This window comes from Homo sapiens, chromosome 8, assembly GCF_000001405.40.
Source record: "Homo sapiens chromosome 8, GRCh38.p14 Primary Assembly".
Taxonomy (NCBI): Eukaryota; Metazoa; Chordata; class Mammalia; order Primates; family Hominidae; genus Homo; species Homo sapiens.
In genome coordinates this window covers 123767304-123790807 of record NC_000008.11, presented here as the reverse complement: position 1 = coordinate 123790807, position 23504 = coordinate 123767304, and the positions used below count along the sequence as shown (strand labels likewise).

The following is a 23504-nucleotide window of genomic DNA, read 5'->3' as shown; positions in this document are numbered from 1 at the left end:
ATTCTTCAGATAAGGCATATTAAGGCTGCAGAAGTGAATCACTTGATACCAAGTGAGTCTAGCCTCACTCAAGTAAACTACCCAGCATGTTTGTTCTCACCTATGTGACAGCTTGTTAAGTAACAGCTGAATCCTCCCTCAATTTTTAAAATTGAGCTGAAAAGAAAGCCAGATGCTAGTGAGAGAATAAATGAAAATGGAGATGATTAAGAAACTGATGTTCTTGGCCAGAAAAAATAGTTTTTAGGTAAATGAAACTAATCAAAATTAAACGTTATAGTGGTATTGAGGACCCATGAAGCCCCAAGACACAACTCTTGTGAATGTCTAAGAACTTGAGCCAAGTGCTCATGCAGGGGTGCCCAAGCCTAGCTGAGCACTGGAATCATCTTTTAAAAAACACACATTCCTGAGTGCCATGCCACACCTCAAAACCTACTGAATCCAAATCCCCATCTGGGTAGAAATTCTGACACCATCAATTCAACTAAAGTTTGGGAACCCCCAACTATCACAAAACTGAGAGTGCCCAGTAGGGCAACAGCTCCATTAAAGTTCATCAATACCTTAAAATTGCTGCTACTTCTTTTACTCTTTAAAAAGAATTATCTATTTCCTTTTTAAAAGTAAAATCTTTTGGTAAGTATTGCAGTAGCATTTGAACAGAAGGCTCCTCTTTATTCTTTTCATTATGATGGAATCTTTCATTCTTGAAATTTTATGCTTCCTACATTAACTAAAATTTTGCCCTTGTTCACCCCTCAGAGCTGATGCCTGTTCTAAATTCCATCCAGCTACTTAAATAAATTAACACCAACACTTTTGCAGGTATTGAACAGATTTAAATACTACAAATGTTAGTGGCACATGAGAAAAGTAAAATAAGGTTAAGAAACAGTTAACAAGCAAGAAATTCACAAAACAGGCCTCTAGTTATAAATTCAATATGCTATCTACACAAAATACGTAAGTGATGATTATATAAGTGAGCATGATCTGTTTAATTTCTTAGAAAAAAGTTTCATATGATCATGTCTTCAAAATTAAATATATTTATCATACCATAATTGGGTTGGTCTGGCTGTGCAGTTTGCGCAACTAGATCTTTGTTATGACGCAGAAACAGTATTGTGTTTCTCAGAGTAAGTGCATGATCAAAATATCTCTGTGCTTCTCCTTCACCAGTGCTCTGAACCTAAACCAAGAGAAAATAGATTTTGCAACAAAAATACCACTTTTATGCCATTCACTCTAATAATCATATAATAGAGATATAAGACATTATTCAAAAGTAGTAAATCAAAAATTTGCCCAGGCAATACCGAAACAAGTTATTAACCTCAGTCTTGGTTGAGTTCCCAATTTTACTACATCTATGGAGATAGAAATTACTTCAACTAAGACTAACAATTTTAGCAATTGAATAATGCTAAGTTATAGCATTATATGTTACATGTTCCAAATGATTCAAATAGAGTGCTTAAACAACTCTAAAACCCGTATTCTGCTCCATCTAGGAAAGTACTCCAAGGTCACCAGTTTTACCTATAATTCTCATAACTTTGTTCACAATTCTGTATTACCAGTTACAAGAGACACTGGAGTCTGTGATTCAACATAGCTGTTCACCATTGCTGAACACACAGCTTAAATTCACTCAACAAAGATTTACTTAGTGCCTCCTATGGACTATGACCTCCCTAGGAGATAAGGATAGAGTAATGGACAAAACCCCTGCCTTCACTGGCCTTATAGTTTAATGTATGCTCTTCTGAATAAGTCTGAATAAGTCACCTTTTAATAAGTAGAGACATATATCCCAGAAACAACACAGAAAATGGAATGATAGGTCTACCAACGGGAAAATAACTAAATCAGATTTGCATACATTTAAGAAATCAATCTTAAGATCAAACTACTTAAAAAATAGCTAAGAATCCACTTTAAAAACTAAGCCTCAGACTGAAAGGCTTTCCCAAGAATGACTTTGTGATGAAAAAGAACATAGATTTATGAGTAAAAGAGCAGAAGTCAACTTGCAATTTGCTACATTTGATAAAAGACTAGCTGAGGTGAAAAAAAGATAAAAATCAGAAAACCAGAACTTGAAATGTGCAGTAACATAGTAAGAAATTTATTAGTAGAAGATAATATACAATAAGAAATGGGGTTAACAAATAAAGAAGCATGAAGAAATAAATGGCAGTATAAAGGTAAAAGTAAAAGAGACCAATTAATAGCAAAGGATTATCTCACACATATTTCTGCACTAATAAAAGTAAAAATCCTATGGAGTAGGAGCAGTGAAAAATGTTACAGTCTTTTTTTTTTAAGATATAAAGGAGTTGCAGAATCACCACAAATTCTCTAAACAGTGCATTGAAAATACAAAGTTCATCATAAAGCACAAAAGGCACGAAAAGTATTAGTCAAGGAACAGATTAGGCACACAAACTATTTGAATACAAAGAGGCCAGAATAAAATATCCGAAGAATGAAAAACACCAATAAAGGGCAATCAGATTTATTTAGAGCTAAGGAAAACTAGGGCTGTACTCACGGGGAAAAAGGTGGTTAAGAGCAAATATGGCTGAAGTCTTCAAGATGCTAAAAGGGATAGTGAGAGCGGACATAAATATGATACCCAGGGATATTGTTCCAGATTCAAGGTAAATGGAACAAAAACTTCAAATCAAACTGCTTAAGAGGTGATCTTAGAGAGTCATACCAGAAAAAAAATTGAAAGGCTATTTTAGCAAAAATTCAACTTAAAACATTACAGACTAAAATTTCTATACCCCATTTCTTCATTATCTCAAATTATGTTAAGAATTAGATGAGGTAGACATATCACTTTAAAAATCACAAAATCAATTCACCCACTCAATATGTTTAAGTCTAAATGACTGTAAGAGTACTAATTTGGGGAATGAGGTAGGAACGAGCAAGAATACACTGAAAGCCCATCCAAATCAACAGACTGTATAATTGGCATTCTGTCAAGCAAGGACAGATTCCAAATGCCCTAACATCCCCTTACATGCAATCTACATTTACCTTTTCTAGTTCTATAAGAAAGCTGTCCAGAGACTCATCTGAGAGTTTGCCTACTTCAAACATTGTGACTGCATGACTTTTCAAGTTCTGAAAAAAAGAAACAAAATATTAAAGTTCTACTTCTCCCTTTTTATGCTAAGCATACTATCAAATATTTATATTATCCTTTCAAATATATTTAAACTTAAGGATTGGGGGGTGAGGGGCTAATTCTTCCAATTACAAAAGGACCTTCCCTGAAAGTTATTATACTCCTCTAAGTCAGTTGTGCTTCGGGAATAAATGTAGTACTTTAAAAAAGATATAAAAGCATTAAATTATTTTATATCTAGTATTTATTTTAAACACCTTCATATTTAAACAAGAATTGGGCTTACTGGTGAAAGATTTCCCATCATTAAGAAGGCAGTAAGAGTGGAGTCAAACAGGAATGCGATGCGCTTCGTGTGTCCTGTAGACAGACTCAGGCTGCTTACACTGGCTGTGTCAGCTGAAAAACACCATAATTTAAAATCAAGTAAATGGAAATTATTCTTTGCTTACCATTTGGAGTGAAAGTATTTCATTTCAGCTTTATTTGATAACCAGAAAGTACATAATTTTAAAAAGGCACTATTATAGCCATAAGAAGTTCCAGCCATACCTATTTTGAAGCGCAAAGAATATTAAAAAGCATTTAACCCTAGGCCTTGTCCACTATGCTGTGTTTCCCTTTGGGCTTAGCCTCACTATTCTCTCGGGCTGAAATGGCTTTCCTTCCCTGACCAGCTGGCAGGCTCTTCTTCATTCTTAGCTCAAATAACATCTTCTCTGTGAAGGCTTCCCAAACCTCTCTAGCCAATTAAGGGTCTCTTCCTCTTTGCACCCTACAAGCATTATAATTGGTGCCCGTGTTGTTGTAATTTGTTTGGTCACATTCCCTTCTCTCTCCTTAGACTTAATTCTTAGAAGAAAGGTACCATATTCTTGTCAGTTTTATATACCTAGGACTTAGCACAGTGCCCAAAATATAGTAAAACACTCAAAGACTGCGTATTGAATAAAATCTAAACTAAAATTAGAAGGTAACTGTAAGAGTGTATGTTTGGACATGTGCCGTACCTACAGACAGACTCTATGTTAAACTGAGTTACTGCTAACCTGGATCTTCTTGACTATTTGTATCAGTGTCAGTTGCCGATGAAGCTTCTTGTACAGGACTCCTACTTTCCCCTCCATCCCATGACAAGAGCATCTTCTGTGGATCTAAGGTACTCCTATTAATGAAGAATGCATTTGCTTTTTAAAAATCATATAAATGACCTTACATTAAAATATCTACTGAAGTTAAGACTTAAATTATGAACAATCCATCAAAATTCAGTCTTATATTCAAGCCCAAAATTAAGTCGCAGCCCAAAAATGCTCTGCCTACATACAACAAGGGTTCTTAACTAAGATCCACGGATAGGCTTCAGAAAATTCAAGAACCCTTCAAGATTTTATGTAAAATATTTATTTGCTTTTTTTCTGGGAAAAGCCTTCTTAGTTTTCATTATATTCCAAAAAAGATCTGTAACACACACACAAGATTAAAAATCACTAATATAAAGGGCTCACCTCAACTGACAGGTTGAATAAATAAAATTTCTGGGCCAGGTGCAGTGGCTCACACCTGCAATCCCAACACTTTGGAAGGCCAAGGTGGGTGGATCAGTTGGGGCCAGGAGTTCGACACCAGCCTGGCTAACATGGTGAAACCCCACCTCTAACAGAAACACAAAAAATTAGCTGGGCATGGTGGTGCACACCTATAGTCCCCACTACTCAGGAGGCTGAGGCATGAAAATCGCTTGAAACGGGGAGGTGGAGGTTGCAGTGAGCCGAGATCGCGCCACCGCACTCCAGCCTGGATGACAGAGAGAGACTTTGTCTCAATAAATAAATAAATAAATAAATTTATGTATGTAAAATTAAATGTCTTTTCAAAAGGAAACTCTAATAGCTCATACTGAATAAATTTAAGTTACTTTAATCTGTTTACGGATGGAACATTCTTCCATGATGAATGAAGTTGATCCAAATTAATTACTTGTCCCTTCTTATGGGCAAAGCCCAATCGGCAATACATTGAAACAGCATTCTGAAAGGAATATAAAGGAAACTAATTACCATTTAAAATAAACTAGACATCACAATATTTGTAGAGAAAAAATAGTGTAATAGACTAATAGTGATTCTCAAACATTTTCATCCCGTAACCAGAAACTATTTTCAGTAGACCTGCTCCTCCCTTGAAGTCTTCATAAATGTATAGGAGGGAATGTTTCCAACTCTCTGGCCTTGCCCTCCCTACATCTACCCCTAATGAAGCAGGAGTTGTTGCTTTAACGGACCTCACTACAAGATACTGCTTGGGCTGCTTCTTGCATGAGTGCTCTCTTTTCAGTCCATGTGTTTGAATCCCAATTTAGGGCCCCTTTTCCTGCTCTTTCCTGTCTTTGCAAGTGCCCCTTTACTGTGCACGTTCTCTCAGACAGCTAACAACAATCTCAATGTCTTCGTTTCTCAGTAGCTTATCAAGATAAAAATCTACTAGTAAAATCCACTCAGTTATCACATCACCAGTAAATGAGTATAAAAATAACATACCTTAACCAGGGATAAGTCAATCTCAAGGACATTTGCAAGCTAGAAGATAAAATTAAAATTTATTTTTACATTCTTAGAATTAACAGCACATTACACAGTTGTAATAGACCAATATAATCATAATCAGCAAAATTTTAAGTTATGAATAATTAGAAGACTGAATAAATTTTGAATTCAGAACTTTCTTCTTTCCCTATCTCTAAGATCCTTATAGTACAAATCCATGGAGTGACCATAACAATTTAAGATTCCTTACTCTTTAATTTCGTCTCATTTAAAATAAAATTCCTGGATAGATCAATATAGTCTACAATACTTTAGTACAAAAAGTCATATAAAAAGTTAACCAAACTATAAATTATTAACTTAAATTTTAATATACATTTATAAGAACGTTAAGAATAATGACATTTAAGTGTAATAATGGTATGATCTCCCCACATGGAGATTTTAAAAAGATACTACCATATTAAATAACTTTACTTACTTTACACAAACTTACAATCTTGAGATTATATTTTCATGAGACGTTGTCAAACTTACCTCTGCAACATTTGTGTGCTCATCTATTGAAACAAATATCTTATAGAGTAGAGTTTCAAAATAATCACCTTGCACTCGATTCATTACAAAACCTTCAAGAGGTGGAACTAAAACAAACAGAAGAGATTTTTCTCAGTGGTACAGATTTTATAAAACAAGAAAGTATAATTTACATATCTAATTAAAAAAAGAAACCTCTAACTTAGGGACTGAATGCAGCTTTTGATTTATTTATCCACTCCATAGCAAGTTTTCTGAAACTCTACAATACGTACACAGAGAAGACTCTGAAGGTAGACACGAAATCCACAGAGTTCATTTAATTCACCATGGAACTCAGAGTTACTGAGACAGGTAACTCAGAAATGCTGGATGACATGGACTTGGTAGAAGGGTGAGGGAACAGGGGCTGCTTCAGAATGGGGGAGCCTGCAAAGGGTTTCTGATACATGTGTTTTTGATGCCTCATAGGCAGCAGGGGTGAGTGGGCCAAAGCTGAAAAGCAAATGACTGCAAGAAAGAGTTGCTACGCTATACGAAAACCAGGTGGATGCAAAGTATTGGCTCTGTCTCCCCATCATCCCTACTCCATCCTAAAAATGGAAATTCATCTGCATGACCATCATGTTTACCAGAAGTCACTGGGCTAACTCGTTCTTTGGGGCTTTCTTTTCTGGTATCCTCCCCAGTGGGCCTCAGTGGCAACAGGGTCAAGATCCCCTTTAGCACAGTGGGCAGCCCAACCATCACTCTCCACCTGAATGTTCATTCATACTCACTTCTATCTCTTTGGTCCAAATGTTCTAATCTGATTTACCAAAGTGCTCTGCCCAGCCAATAAAAAACAAGCTCTATGCTTTCCTTTGCCATTCTCCCCTGTGGGTACATTCACCCTGAAAATATCCTGAGAAGGAGGAATGCCTAGGCCATAGTAGCATTTGGGTATCTTTATGTCCCCTGGCCCTAATATCATCTAATTGTACCCAAAAATTTAAATTATTCCTAATAGTGAAAAATAAGACAAAATTCAAATGGTCAAAACTGAGACACTGAAAAACTACAATGTACATACATCTGAGGATAGGTTATTCACTTTACAGATCTGGCTCATGTCATTTTCTAATTTAGTACTACCTATATTTCTAGTCATCTAGGTACTTTTAATGATCAATGGTTTCTTTTTAGAAATATTTTAGAAATCCCGTCTTTGACAACATTAATTATTTCCCTACACTATCAGCTATGTAAATAATAATAGCATTTATTGAATGCTTACTAAGTGCTAGGCTATTACCAAGTACTTTATATATACATTTTCATTTAATCCTCCTAACTCCGTGGGTTGTACAGTAGTATAATTACCCCTATTTTTAAATGTATCTATTTATTTATTTATTTATTGAGACAGGGTCTCACTCTGTCACCTAGGCTGGAATGCAGGGTGGGGATTGTGGCTTACTGCAGCTTCGACCTCCCAGGCTCAAGCAATCCTCTTGCCCCAGTCCCCCAAGTAGCTGGGACTACAGCCACATGCCAACACGCATGACTAATTCTTTTCATTTTTATTTTTGTAGAGAAGGGGTCCCTTTATATTGCCCAGGCTGGTCTCGAACTCCAGGGCTCAAGCAATTCTCATACCTTGGCTTCCCAAAGTACTGGGATTACAGGTGTGAGCCACTGTGCTTGGCCAGTTACCCCCTATTTTGAGAGATAAAGAAACCAAGGCACTATGAGATTAGAAATTTTCCTAGGCCAAAATTTGTATCTAAGCAAAAAGAGTAAGGTGACTCTACATGAAGAAATTTGAAACAGTGCTAGCATTTGTCCAAATGCTATTGGTTATCCAAAGAGAAGAAAAATAAGTTGAACCCTTATTCCACATCAAATATGAAAATAAGTTCCAAACAAACTGCAAATTTAAATATATACGACAAAAGTTCTCAAGAATTTTCAGACTATTTCTATATCCTACAGGTATTCCATTCAAGCATAACAGAAATCAGGAAGCTATAAAAGACACACAAAATACAGTTAGAAAATTTGATGAATAATGGAATAAATTTATTTAATAATAGAGCCTTTCATGATTACTCCCTTAAAAGTATTTCTGATCTCCATTTATATTTATATCACCAACCATAGTGCTTGTTTGTTTTGTTGTTGAAACGTATCTGAAATGCCTCTTTTGAAATCACATTCAGGTATTATTTGTACTGAATTTGATGCCTTCCATGTTGTCAAAACTGTTTTTATGTGTTTATTCTAATTTGGGGAACAGCCAAAGAGGTAACATGGTGACAAGGGTAAGTTTAGCAATTATCATCCCATGGGTCTGTCTGTACCACCAAATACCAGCAGCTACTAAGTGAAGTATGGTAGAACACATCAATGTAATGGGGCAGCCATCCATCTGGCCCTTCTCTGACTGCTTTTTTCAAATGAATTTAGTTTAGCCATAAGTAATATTAAAAGTTACTCTAATGTGAGTCAATGTTCAAACTGACAGTCAAACTGGACTGAAATGAACTAGTCAAAGACTAATCTTTTTATTAATAGGTGGATCTCAAATGAATCAACGTCAGCTTATCTGATGACAGTAGGCACTAGAGTAATACTTTCATATTTTCCAACTGTGACAGGAAATCACGGCCACCTCTGTCTTCAGAAATCATTTCCTTGTCAAATCTTTCTCATTTTAAAACTAGTATTTTGTTACGGCATCAACTATACAAACGCAAATTAGTATTTCCTGTACTTTTTAAGGTATCTTTCCAAGCTTAAAATAGGATGCAGGCCGGGCATGGTGGCTCACGCCTGTAATCCCAGCACTTTGGGAGGCCGAGGCGGGCAGATTGCTTGAGGTCAGGAGTTCAAGACTGGCCTGGCCAAAATGGTGAAACCCTGTCTCTATGGGTTTTACCTGTAGAGTAAATTAGCCAGACGTGATGGTGGGTGCCTATAATCCCAGCTATTCGGGAGACTGAGGCAGGAGAATCGCTTGAACCCAGGAGGCAGAGGTTGCAGTGAGCCAAAATCATGCCACTGCACTCCAGCCTGGGCGATAGAGCTAGAATCCGTCTCAAAAAAAAAAAAAAAAAAAAATTCACATATGCACAAGGTTTAAAATGTGTTATTAAAGAATCACAAACATATGCCAACCCAAAGGTCTGGACACGCTACAGCATGATATCTTGTCAAGATTCAACACTGATATAAAGAAGTATTTCTGTAATAAGCCCTATCACCACTAATTTGTTAATATTAGGGTCATTCTCTGAAATTTTTTGACACTTTATATTTGATTACACAAATATTCAATATCTAAGTATAATAAAACACAAGAACAATAGTTAAAAGATATGCCACAAGACATACTTGTAACATATAACCTGAACATAGTAAGTGCTTCTATAAATTGGTAAGAAATCTAACCTATAGAAAAAAAAGCATCACTCTGTATTCAAGGATATTGAACATATCAGTATTGTAGTGGCAAAAAAACTGGAAATAATCTAAATTACCAGAAATACAAAATGGTTTAATAAATTGATACATCCATAAAGTGTATGACAAATATACAAGGCTCCTAATATTGGTTTAACTTGGAGAAGTAGGTAAAGGAAGAAGGGAAAAGGAAATAGACAAAAAGACTACAGTAACATGAAAAAATAATGCACCAGTATGTTAAGTGAAAATGAGAACATACAATTCTATGAGATTACTGAACACATGTAAAAACAGCTACACACTGAACAAGGATTAAAAGGTAACAAAAATTTATAAAAATATTGATTTGATTTGGGATTGTTAGAAATTTACCTTGGGTTTCTATTATTTTAGTGTAGTATGTACACCAAATACAAAAATGAGAATAAAGAATTTAAGTAAAACCAATGTACTATGTTAAAATGTAATAACGAAGCAATATTTTTCTTGAAATATCCTAACATCTAAGATCCTAGAACGGATGATATGCAATGCTTAGCACCTGATATCCATTCAAAAAACAGTGAAAAATGTTAGCACGGACTTACCTGCTATACAACTGTCATCAGATATTGGTACATCCAGATAAATAAATCCTTTGTTATACAAACCTGAAGAAACAAAAGTACCTTGTTTTAGATGGAACACTACACAACAGTGATTTTTTTAAAAAAACTAATTCCTGGCTTTCTGTAAAGATTCTTACAAATGAATGCTATGTGACGAAAGAAAAAGTAAAATAGAAGAGAAAAAGAATTAAAGTTTTTAAATCTCGGTTTCCTGCATATACTCTGAAGTACAAAATTTTTCTTATCATTCAGTTGCATAAATTTCTAGTGTATGTGACTAATTATAGCCACACTGGAAAACAAAAGACTAAGGTCACATTTCAAACAATAACATGCCTTAGAAACTAGTACTATTTGTACCTACTTGATAAGTAATTGCTAGTAATTATTGATGGTTTAAAACAAGTTTTTATGTTGACAAAAGACCATTTCTACTAACCACTTACTATGTACTACATTGTAATCTAGTGATCCAGAGAGTTGAGGGCCTGAATCGATGATCTTATCAACAGCGCATTTCTCAGGCAAAGTGCATATCTAAGAAAAGCAAAATATTTTTAATTAAGTTCTGTCCAAATTAACTAATTCACAAGTCTCCTGAAATTTATTTATGTTGAAACCAGTGATTACATGTCATTAGCTCAATGAACTACATATTTATCACTCTATAATTCAAACAAAAAACTGTGCACATAGCCATCAATTAAGGTGCCAAAATATGCAACATACCAACAGAATGTAGAGAACAAACTTACTGTAAGTACCAACATTTGCTAGTTAGTAATATTTGTTCCTTGTGATTGAATTGGAATTAGATCCATCTGCCAATTCAGAATCTCTCTAGCCAGAAATTTAGTCAAACTCTACATGAATATTGTCAGTAACAGGAAAGTTCACTAGCTTATTATGATACAGTTTGAGAGTTCCATTAAGAGGTACTTTAGACTGAAGTAAAATTTCTAAGCCTTCCACTCAATGGATTTAGTACGTACCCTGGAGAAAATTAAATGCAGACCAAAAAGAAGCCCACATACTCATTTCCATTGCTTCAGCTACGCATAAATACAACCTGGTCTCTAGGTGCCCTCATTACTCCACCCCTTTCCTCTAAACCAATATCCCTTCTAAGATGTGGTCTGACCACTGGGAATATCAACTCTCTTGATCTTGACACTATCGCCCCATAAAAGCACCTATCACTTCAGTACAACAGTTCTTTGCAGTGATTAAGAGTACAAGTTTCATGGTGAACTGCCAAAAAATCCTGGACCTTTACTACCACTAAGACATGAGCTGTTACTTAATTGTTCTGTGCTCACTTTCCTCATCTGTGAAATGGGGGTACAAATAATACATACCTCTGGGGCTGTTATGAGAATTAAGTAAGACAATATAAAAAGCACTTGTAATAGAGCTTGGCACATCTAGCACACAGCAGGTATTCAAAAGTGTTAGCCAGTATTATTGTTGTAGGTAGCTGTGGCATCATGTTACTTTACACGAAGCTTCTATCTAATTAACATCCCCAGATAACTGTACTTGAACCAAGTCAAGTCTCCCTCACCATTAAAGAGTATCTCAAAAACTCACCAATATTCTAGTCTACTAAGATCATTTTAAATTTTAAATTTAAGTTTCCTTTTCTTCAGGAAAACAATGTTACTTTTTAAAAAATTATAAGCTATAATTAAAAATTGTAAAATAAACTAAAAAATAAAAATTCTATGTTTAACTTTTAAAGATTTCTACCTTGATGTCATCTTCTGTGATATAGCCAGCCTGCACCACCCACCACGCCTCTATGGCAATTTCCACTGGCTTTATTGGTAGAAGATCACGGGCTGTTTTCCTTCTGAAGAATTTCTGCAATGGTACAAACATTTGAGAATTTGCAATCTAAAACTACCACTTTCTTCTTTCATCAATCATATCATAAGATTGTTTCTAATGGACTAAATAAATATCTTCTTAAAATCTTCATGTTTTAAAATCTTAACAATTCTAGATATTAACATATTGTATGAAGAAAGTCATTCTTAAATTGTTTCAAAATAAATTGTTTCAAAACACTAATTGTTAAATCCAGATTTACTTCCACAAACTCAAGTGAAACCCAAGCAGTGAAAAATGCATTTGAAAATGCAAACACTTTTTTCACCCACTAAGTGAACTGTACAAGTAGAATGAGCAAATAAAAAGACTAAGAGAACAAAAATAATTTTTAAAAATAAATGTTTTATGCATTAAAAATTTTAAATAATCATTTATGCTATAACCTAGAGAATACTGAGGAGTTTTTTTTGTATTGTTTCTGTGTTAAGTACATTTTATTTGGTCAAAGACATACAATTCATTATTTCTACCACTTAAAAAAACTAATCAAACTGTGTGATGAGGCCAAAACAATGAAAAAGAAAGTACTAACTTACTTTTGATGATCTACACTGATTCATAAGATCAATATACTGGTTTCTTCCTATGCCAAGAAGCCTTAGACCTGAAAAAAAGAGTCTTTCCTTTAAAAACATTTAACATATCTTGAAATCTCAATATGTTCACAAGCGATTGTAGGAAAAACCCGAGCTTATTTTCATCTTTCAATTACTAGTCAAATATCAATATCAAATTAAAAGGACGTCTTCAACCAAAACATAAATGAAAGCTAAACTTTGGGAGAGATGAATTCAAGATGACACTTCTAACAAAAACATTTTAAAAAAGCAGAAGTCCTGCCAATTTTAGGAAGTCAAAATGTAATTCTCAGCGAAAGCTTCTTAAACAACAGAATTATGACACATTCAAAATATACACTTTGCCAAAGTAAGCATACTAAAACAGCAGCAAGTTAAGTTACTAAAAACTGTATGTCACCCTGCAAAAATACTGTGCACAAGTTTTCCTCCCACATTCAATATACACACAGCCCAAGTATCAGAAAGAACTTCATTCTCTGGAAATATATAGATTAGTCTTATTTTTCTGATTCTACCACTCTCAAATATGCCTCTCTTAGACATTTAGAGTAAATCTTACACATGCATCTGGTATCATCTGATAAAATTCTCACTGATAATGTTGCTTACTGTTCTCATTTTTCACATATTTCAGGTTAAAAACACACATGACAATATTCACAGATGACAGGATGCACAAAGACACAACCTAAACATTACCTTCTTCAGCACAATTAAATACTTACAGTCAGCAGCAGTAAAATTGGGCAATGAATCATAACTTTTCTCACTGTTCATAATATCCTTTTAAAAAGAAAAAAATTTAAATTTGAAATCTAAAATGTCCTTAAATAAAAATGTGTATAAATACAATATTATTACAGCCAATAACAATGATTATTACAGGAAGCAGTAAGATCATAGTTTGGCTACCTAGAGCATACATGCCACCCTGTGGCACTTTCCACACATGTTCCCAACCTAGTAATTAAAGGGCAGATTTTCAGGTCTAGGTTTCTTAAGAGGCTCTCTACGAATCCCAGGCAGCTGCCCCATAACCTCTGCCCTGTGGAAGCTATGTAAGTAATGGCTCCATTAGAGCTCAGGGTTCCAGCCTCTCCACATTTCATACCTGATCCTAGATCTCCACCATGAGAGAAAGCCAAATAATGTGGCACAGCTCCATCAACATGCACTACCAATGAAGACTACAACCACTTAGTGGCCTTTGATCCCACAAGTCCCAATCTGTAGAAGAGCTAAACTTGGTATCCAGCTTTTTCTGCCCCAATCTGTTTCTCCAATAACAAACCCACTGCTTCCTGTGGGGATAAGGCCCGTTTTCTACCGAGGAACTATACCCAATGATAGAATAACAGAAACCAGAATGCAGCAACCATGTGGATGTAACTGAAATGAAAGCTGATAAGTGAAACAAAAACTCCACCTATTTTAGCTCCCAAATTTGTGGACTACACTAGAAAAATAAAGAGACAGCAGTAACTATTCTACTTCCTGATTAGCTGCCACCTTCATTATGCTACCCTGGTTCTTCACTATGCTACCTGGGCTATCGGGCCTCTCGCTTTCCTCCAGTATTTCCTCCAAAAGAGGAACACGGGATGCATGGGACTGCAGAAGCACCCATGAAGGAGGGGCTTCTGGAGATAACGAAGGGAGCAAACAGCAAAGCACACATCGTATGTAGGGCTAACCTCATGTTACCACACGTTCCCAACTCCTTTAGTTCTAGGCTCCTCTCTGCTCTTCAAGCGGCTAGTGAGCCCCAAACAGAAGCACTCAAACATAATTAAGGAGCAAATGAATACTAAATAAATACTGCCAATCTTTAATAAAGCTCACTTGAAAACAGTATATAACTAGTATTAAAGTTATCCAATACAAGCCTAAAAGCTGTCTTTGGAAAAAGGCTAACAACTAAAAGTTAATAATTATAGAAAGAGATTAACAGCCAAGACTACTAACATATTTCTCTTTTCTGGCACCTGTATTATATAATGTTGGGTCTATGTCATCATTCATTCTTTAGACAGTTAGTGAATAGTTAAATACATTAATTTTCTTTTCTTTTCTTTTTTTTCTTTTGAGACAGTCTCACTGTGTCACCCAGGCTGGAGTGCAGTGGCGCTATCTCGGCTCACTGCAACCTCCACCTCCCAGGTTCAAGCGATTCTCCCCCCTCAGCCTCCTGAGTAGCTAGGATTACAGGTGCACACCACCACGGCTGGCTAATTTTTGTACTTTTAGTAGAGACGGGGTTTCACCATGTTGGCCAGGATGGTCTTGATCTCCTGACCTCATGATCCACCCACCTTGGCCTCCCAAAGTGCTGGGATTACAGGCGTGAACCACTGCTCCCAGCCTAAATACATTAATTTTCTCAGAACATAATGTTCAATTCTGTCACCCACATTTTCAACCTTAATCACGTTTTAAAAAGCAATAAATTTTACACAGACTCTGCCAACATAAATGACTGATCAGTACTACAACAGCACAAAGGGTCAATAGCACCTTCAAGACCAGAAGAGAAATAGACAGCTTCCCAATGTAAAAACATCAATAAGGATAAGTACTTGTACAGTGTGGCTCAAACAGTTAACAAGCCACCAATAGTCCTTTTTACACTATAAGTTCTGAAAGAGTGTCCACCGCAGACGACAGCTGAAGAGCTGGTGAACATCTGCAAAAAGTCCCAGACATGTAGTCCCATCCCATTCCCACTGGCTCACCCACACTGTAAACTCACCTCCATAATCCCAGTATAATATGAAAATGGTGTTATCCTCAAGCCTTTCACCATAATATCCGATAGATGGTAAGGGTACAGCATGAGATGATCTCGGCTGTACTTTAGCAGTTCCTCATAGTATCTGCGTTCATCTTTCTTGACATGTTTAACTGCACAAAAGAGGGAAATTCTCCAGTTTTTTTCAGGTTTCTTATAGTTATATATTAACTATGAACACTTTACAAACCAACAGTAATTTAAAAGAAAAGTATGTAAATTACAAGAGAACAAATAAAATATTCTAAGTTGGAACAAAGAAATATATCACATGAAATAGATTTTAGAGTATAGAAGTAAAATGAATAATAGGACAGATTAGTAGAGAATAATTCTTGCCAAATGAGAAAACAAGCATGGAACTACCAGCATGCCCCCCAAAAAGGTACAAAACAGAGCTTTATTGAATTGTATTCTACTACCTTACAAGAGAGCCAAACTGAATGCTCGTTTTCAATGAAGTCAAGTCTATTTTTAAAAATTATTTGCTGCTTTTTTAGTTTTTAAATGTAAAAAGCCCTCTGACTTTCATGGAAAATGTTCATGAAGAAAAACAATGTCAGAAATATTATGCTTAAAATAAGAGTAACAAACAGGAGTGAAAGACTACCAGGGCAACAGAATAGACTAACCAAAATAATCTGATAAATAAACAAATTTTTTTTTAGAAAGAAGAAAAAAAAATCATGGAATGAACTATGTTTAAAATGTGTCCCAATTATTATAAAGTTTTTCATATTATTTGGAAAATTTATGGAGACAACCCAAAGTCAAAAATTACTAAGAACTAATATACTTTTTCTTTTATGGCATATTTTCTTACCTCAGGCAAAAAGAGGACATTTGAATTAAGATTATTTTATAGATAAAATGAGTCCATAAACAGTACTCTAAAAATAATTTTTATCAGAATTAGAATGAAAAATCTACTTGCTAATACAAATTGTTGTTAGGTGGAATGGATCAGTGTAGAGTTTCTTAAAGTCTGTACATGGAATAATCTCAGTACTATGAAATATGTATTGAAAAGAAAGATTTACGAATGTGAAAGAGTAGTGGTCAGTTCCACCCCAATATAAACATGGCTCTACTTACCTAAGTTATTTCTATATCGTAACTGATTGCGGATACTGTACAGGACAACCTGCTTTTCATATTCTCTCTGTGAATTTCCAAGACTCTAGGAGAAATTTCAAAAAGATTTTAAACAACTTCCAAACTGAACAATAGTACTATTTTTTCCCATAACACACTTTAAAACCACGACCCCCATTTTTATCCTGGCATCTCTAATTTGCAGAATTAAATAAAAAATATTTTCTTAAATGTTATTATACTAACTTTCCTGCTACAGTATTCAGAGCAAAAATTCTATGTATTTTCAGTCTGCCTTTCTAAAAGAGTTTACTAAAATTATCCGAAGTATTTAATATCAAATAAAAACCGGTAGGTGAGTGTAACTTCACTTTGGTTAACAAAGAACTAAGTTCTGCTTATAAAGATTTCCTTCCTGACTGCTATATTAAGTGGTTGGATAGATGGTTTCCTGCCCCTACATTTATTTAAATTTAAGAATGGCAACTAAGGACAGATACATCCCTCTTTGATAATTGTAGCTGAGGGTTATAATTATTAAAGATTAGGATTTCTGGAAAATTTACATTTAAATGTACGTAAGATTGTTTCTTAAAAATGCAATCTCCTGTGGCCTCATTAGAAGGCATTTAGACAATTTTAGAATTCGGAGCCATTTTTAATAAGCTAAAGTCTTTCTAGTATGCACTTAGTGTTTTGTTGCAGTGTTCCTGAAAGCAAACAACGTTTGCCTGATTATAGTTAACATTATATTCACTGGGAGACCATAAACTTAATTTAATATATGACTGCTATCCTCCTCCTAATTTCTAGGTATGGTCTTTCCAACACACTATAAAGTGAAATTAGACATCTTAGGAAAGTAATGACAGAAAGATCAGAGGATTTAGTTCATCGTATTTCTTACTCATAGGTAAGCCAAAACCAAAGACAGGTCCCTACATCTTTCACTTAAGGCAATCTTCACAATAAGACAGATGAAACTCACATCTAAGTAAACTGACCCATAACTGGACCCATTGGTAGGTAATATTTTAAGAAAAATAGAACATGATGTGTCCCATTTTAACTGTACAATTATGTGCGGTTGGCCCTTGGACAACACGGGTTTGAACTGCATAGGTCCACTTACACTGGGATTTTCTTCCTCCTCTGCCACCCTGAACAGCAAGACCAACACTTCCTGTATTTCCTCCTCCTCCTCCTCCTCAGCCTACTTGATGTGAAGAGAAGGATGAAGACCTCTGTGATGAGCCATCTCCACTTAATGACTAGAAAATATTATGATTTTCATAATAGCATTTTCTTTTCTCTAGCTTATTGTAGTACAGCATATATTAACAATATATATAACATACAAAATATGTGTTCATCAACTGTGTTATGGCCGAGGCTTCCAGTCAACAGTTATAGGCTATTAGTAGTTAACTTCCGGGGAAGTCAACAGTTATAGGCTATTAGTAGTTAACTTCTGGGGAAGTCAAAAGTTATACATGGATTTTCAACTGCACAGGGGTGCAGCACCCCTAAACCCATGTTGTTCAAGGGTGAGCTTTCTTCCTGCATTTAGCTTAGTTTATCACAGGCTAAGCCAGAACCCACGGTAGAACCAGAATGTATGTGCTTATCTTACTTTCATCTGTCTTAACATTATAAGGGGTTAAGAGTAGATCTCATTGTAGAGAAACTACTCTACCATCCTCTTCGTAGCATCAATGCCAGGGTCGTTGTACTGACAATATTTAGAGGATTCAAAATAGCACACTTTTAAAGGTTTTCTCTGTCTCTACTGCTAAATAAAAGTCTCTTTCTCAGGGAACACAAATACACACACATGCATACTCAAACAAGCACACAATTTTGCTAAAATCTAGCTTGAGGTTTTGCTCTTCTGTTTCAAAATAAGTCTCTTAATACACTACCTATGAAATTTGTAAGCTTTGGCTCTCAGCATTAAGTAATAACTGGTCCTGAACCTATCAATCAATACACGAGTGAACACAAATTTCTAAAACCCACATTAAAAGTTGGCTTTATTCTTCACTGGCCAAGTATGTAATATAAATTGCTTCATTCTGAGATTCTTGGGCTCCCTGGGCTCCCCTCCTACTCCTACCCCACATCTCCCACCATTCAAATTTTAAAACACTGTTGCCACTAGAGAAGGTGACTTTTTAAAAAGAAGAAAAAAAAAGTAATTTTACCCCGAGTCAACTCTAGCCCTGCAGAAATACTGACCAGGTCTGACAAATGAAGTTGGGCTGCATATAAAAGGAACTACATCAGATCAAATGGCGATGTAAGAATAAGACACTAGCTATAAAGCACCCATCACAGATTATGCTAAAAACACAAAGATTTTCTGAAATCTTTGCTCCTACAGACTCCAATCCCAGCATATACATCCCCAAGTACACCCCTGTGCCGCATCAAAAAATTTTTTAAATTGACCCTTCTTGGATGATACAGAAACTTATCATAAGATTTCCCTCAAAATAAAAGGGCTATTAATTATTTTGGATAAAGAATACAAGATAGTGGTAAACTACAGAAAAATCCTGAAATAATGGCCCCATCCACAATTTTTTATATATTTTTTAAAAGTCTATCATGACCCATACCACATTTTTTTAAATGTCCTCTCATCCACATAAAAATGAATTAGCTTAAAATACATTTTTTAAAAATCTAAATCACCTGCCCCTAGCTTACAGAACTGGAAAATGAGTCATTTTCAAGGTAAACCCATCAAAACTTACTGGAAACGACATCGAAGTGTCTAAAAATCTATAATGCCAAAAGACAAATTCTTTCCATAGAAGGAATATTCCCCAAGTTTAAACTGACTGAGCTTTAGGTGCTCAGCCACAAATACTAAAAGCCAAGTATGTGAGAGGTGCTCATGGGACAAAAGCAAAGCCAGTATTGTAACCACAAAATGCACCATAGCGGGGTAAGCTCTATGACAGGTGAGGAATACAATGCAATGGTAAGATAGCCTAGGGGCAACCACCACAGATTTAGGTGGTCAGGGAAACCTCCCAGGAGCAGTATCAGAGTGAGAATCAAAATATGCTATTAATACAAGCAATATAAAGGAGACCAGCAGTAATAAGGTTGGGTTTGCATTTCAGAAGCCTCACCCCCAGAGTAGCATGAAGAATGCAGAGAAAGTCCTATTCTAAGAGCAAGAGACCAGAGAGAAGGCTGATGTAGTAATCTCAGATGGAGCTCGGCCTAGGGAAGCAGTGATTAGGCTAGAGAAGGTCCTTGGAAGTAAACTTGTACAGATGTTTTGCAACATCTACAAATGGCCAACCTTATCCTAAGCTAAAATAGCCACTGTTTTTCAAGTGATTTTAAAAACAAAAACATACTTAATTTCACATTTAGACCTAATTTTAACTGTCCCATGATTATTTTTAAATAGTCATGACTACGTTTTAGAAACTCTTTTGCCAATACTAATTAAAGTCAAATATTCATGTTGGATATAATCTCATCACTCATCTTTCTTCCAGTATGCTACATTTATTCTGATGAAAAGAGTAGAGAAAAAATGGAAACAAAGAAAAGAAGAACTGTTTGTTCTTCTTGTGTCTTTGGATTTGCCACAAAACCCTAAAGTACAAAAGTGTCCTTTAAAGCCTTTATTCAAGATTAACAAAAGAAATTTATTCCTTCAGGTTTAGAGCTTTGTTCTCCCAGTTTAAGATAAATGCCACACGGGCAGCCACTGACACCCAAGAATTCAAGTTCTTTAAATTTATCTTTCTCGGTTTTTGCTATATTAAAGTGAAAGCATTTTCTTGGCCACATGATGCATGACCAGAACCTTAATATTCACTTCCTGGCACTAAATCCCCAAGGGAGGAAGGGAGCAAAGTAAACTAAACTATAACAATCCTCATACTGGCTGGGCACTGTGGCTCACGCCTGTAATCCCAGCACTTTGGAAGGCCGAGACGGGCGGATCATGAGGTCAAGATATCGAGACCAGCCTGGCCAACATGATGAAACCCCGTCTCTACTAAAAATACAAAAATTAGCTGGGCGTGGTGGCGCGCACCTGTAGTACCAGCTACTCGGGAGGCTGAGGCAGGAGAATCGCTTGAACCCAAGAAGCAGAGTTTGCAGTGAGCGGAGATCACACCACTGCACTCCAGCCTGGGCAACAGGAGACTCTGTCTCAAAGAAATGAAAATAAAAATAAAAATAAATAAATAATCCTTATATACCATCACCGCCACCATTCCAAACTTCCCAAAAATGCCACTGCCGAGTGCCAACAGAAAACTGAATTTCACTCTCGACCAAGTATAATGGGAGGAAGCGAAGGTCAATCTATGACCAGAGCAGCAGTGCGTTATCTGTAGCCCATATCACTACTTTCGTAAGACTTAAAACCATCTGCTATGTTACGTATTTATTCATTTATTTGTTTACGTCTTTCTTTAGTAAAATGTAAGCTCCATGAAGGCAGTCTTTGTCTTGTTGACTGTTGCAAATTACCTGCACCTAGAGCAACGCACAGCACCTAGTAGGTGGTCAATAAATATCTATTAAACAATTGAGTAAAACAGACTAAAAAAATCGAGAATTAACTTTCAAAAACCTCATGTCACTCTTGTTGAAACATCTCTGATAAACCCATCTTGTCTGGAGGATAAAGTCCAACAAAACAAAGCACACAAGCACCTTCAAAATCTGGCCCTGACCACTTTTCCAGGCTCATCTGCTACCAGCCCCGCGCACTCAAAAAACTTCAACTCCAAACATGTCAGTCCAAACTCTGGTGATACAGTCACTTGCTACTCATGAGACATGTTCTTTCACTCATCCAAGCTTTGTAAAATGACTTTCCCTCCCCCTGGAAAAATCTTTATTCCCTCTTATTTAACTCTTATTCGTCCTCCAAGGCCCAATTTAAGTGCCTGCCTTAAAAATCCTTCCAACTCTCCCAGGATAATTTCTCCCTCCCTCTGCTCTCACATATACTACAATGCAGGTGTGTATGAGCTGCTATCATCCTGTATCGTATTCATTTGTTTCCCATCCCTTTCCCACCATCCTGAAATTCCGGAGGTCAAGGACCGTGTTTAAAATCTCTATCGCAGGTGCCTGGCTGAATGTATCCTGCGGGCAAAGGCGCCAGTCGAGTCCTGTGGACACCATGCCATCCCATTTAGCGATCGCCCCGTCCTGGCCCTGTGGCCCCACAGCCGTCCCCTCCTCGCCCTGGGCTGAAGGTCCGTCTCCCCAAGACCACGGAGGAGTAAAGGAAGGGAGTCAGCCGGCAGCAGCCCGCTCGGGCCCCGCGAGCGAGGCAAGCAGGTGACCGCTGGGCGGGCCGAATCCGTCAGGGGCCCGGTCCCAGGTTCCGGCCGTACCTGTCTCACGTTGGCCGGCAACTTGTTCCAGGGGTAGTTGTGCCGGATGTGGAACTCCACGTCTATGTTCATGATGCCGCGGCCAGGGCCGGCGGCCGGGGCCGCCACCGCGACCCACACTACGCCTCCCGCCTGCCCGCCCGCAGCCTGTCAGCGGAGCGACGCGGGAGGCCCCGCGCCTCACACTGCAGAAGGCCCAGGCTGCCCCATGGCCTAGGCTCCCGACAGTTCAGCGCCGCCCGGGCCAACCGAGTACAAGAGCAGCAGCGATTGGAGGCTGGATCGCCTGAACAGCTCCAAGTTTCTTCCTAGTTTCGGGCCGCCGGAAATGGCTCTGGGCACACGTCACTTCCGCCCGCTGGCGCGCGGCCGGAGGGGCGGGGCACGGACTGGCCTCTAGCCACGCCCTCTACAGGCTGCGGGGCGGGGCGACGACGAGGTACCGGGAGGTGCCCGGGTGAGCGTTCCCCGCCCGCGCGCTTCGTCTCCCCGTTTCAGTCTCTGAATGAACGGCGATAGTCGCTTGGGTCTGCGTTGCCGTTGCTGATGACCCAGTTTACTCAAATTGTAAAGCCGGAGGCACTGGGGTCGGTTTTCAGAGAAAAGCGACCTGGGAAGCGGGCCGGCAGTGGCTGGCTTTACATTGGAGTGCGGTGCGCTCGCGGGGGTTCTCCACAGGCCAGCCCGGAACCCGGGCCAGTGAGACGGGGCGGGGGGTTGCGGGGACGGGTCCAGGGCCCTGGAGAAAGAAATAATCTCTAAGTCAGGTCTCGCACCGGGTTGAGCGAGAAGCATGGGCAGTGGGAGAGCAAAGGTCTGGTAAGCCCTCTTCCCTTCCGCGGTGTGCTGCACGTCATTGGGCTCCACTTCCCAAGAAGATCCAAATTCTTACAATGCAGGGATTCAGGGAGCTGAAATTTTAAACAGTGGTGCTGACAGGTCGAGGCAGCCTACAGGGCTGACAGAGAGATACCCTTGCCAACTTTGTCATGCAGCCTGTCGGTTTCTGCTTTATTCTGCTCCACACAAATGCCTCCAGAGTCACTTAAAAGCAAAAATCCAGCATGTCTTAATTTCAGATTGAGTGATAAGGTCTTTGGGAATAATTTCTTTCAGAAGTTGTTACGCTGCCTTAGCAAACCCGTGACCATTATTCCTGGCAGCAACCAGAGACAAGTTCAGTGTTATTGCAACTGTTTTTCAGTTTTTAACAATGGTTTTAAATAATGTTTTATTATATACTGGGAGATGTATACTTAGAACTTTTTATAAGATACCTAGCTCACACCTCAACAGCTGGCAAGTCTGATGCTTAGCAGAAACCCCATTATGTCTGATGAAATAAAGGTGACAAGTACACACTGCCCTTGCTTAGATGTTTTGGTCTCCTATTATCCAACTATAATAACCCAAAGATAAGTGCTTTGAACCTTATGTTTACAGATCCTCATCAGCATAGCTAAGGTTAACT

General features: G+C 37.5%; 1 protein-coding gene across 5 annotated transcripts in view, besides 2 other annotated features; it reads right to left on the bottom strand.

Annotated features, from left to right (window-relative positions):
* FAM91A1 (family with sequence similarity 91 member A1) overlaps positions 1-22369 on the bottom strand; it is a 47014-nt gene extending 24645 nt beyond the window's left edge. For 2 of the 5 annotated variants that reach the window (NM_144963.4, NM_001317918.1), the window contains exons 1-15: positions 22034-22369; positions 16644-16728; positions 15510-15661; positions 13486-13543; positions 12716-12783; positions 12036-12149; positions 10733-10823; positions 10266-10328; positions 6232-6338; positions 5689-5727; positions 5067-5179; positions 4198-4313; positions 3435-3547; positions 3058-3144; positions 1063-1195 (exon numbers count right to left, since the gene is read on the bottom strand). In NM_144963.4, the coding sequence (NP_659400.3) occupies positions 1063-1195; positions 3058-3144; positions 3435-3547; positions 4198-4313; positions 5067-5179; positions 5689-5727; positions 6232-6338; positions 10266-10328; positions 10733-10823; positions 12036-12149; positions 12716-12783; positions 13486-13543; positions 15510-15661; positions 16644-16728; positions 22034-22105 (1411 nt within the window). In that variant the 5' untranslated portion in view covers positions 22106-22369. Of the gene's footprint in view, positions 1-1062; positions 1196-2560; positions 2608-3057; positions 3145-3434; positions 3548-4197; positions 4314-5066; positions 5180-5688; positions 5728-6231; positions 6339-10265; positions 10329-10725; positions 10824-12035; positions 12150-12715; positions 12784-13485; positions 13544-15509; positions 15662-16643; positions 16729-17775; positions 17915-22033 lie in introns of those variants that run through there. The other 3 variants (XM_047421405.1, XM_047421406.1, NM_001317917.2) reach the window with 3 other exon arrangements.
* Positions 20416-20465: a silencer, noted in NCBI's record as "silent region_19506". NCBI's record gives its function as "represses an Ori minimal core promoter by ATAC-STARR-seq in GM12878 lymphoblastoid cells {active_cell/tissue: GM12878}" and the evidence as "EXISTENCE:reporter gene assay evidence [ECO:0000049][PMID:35858748]".
* Positions 22034-22183: a silencer, noted in NCBI's record as "silent region_19505". NCBI's record gives its function as "represses an Ori minimal core promoter by ATAC-STARR-seq in GM12878 lymphoblastoid cells {active_cell/tissue: GM12878}" and the evidence as "EXISTENCE:reporter gene assay evidence [ECO:0000049][PMID:35858748]".
* Positions 22370-23504: the final 1135 nt, after the last annotated feature.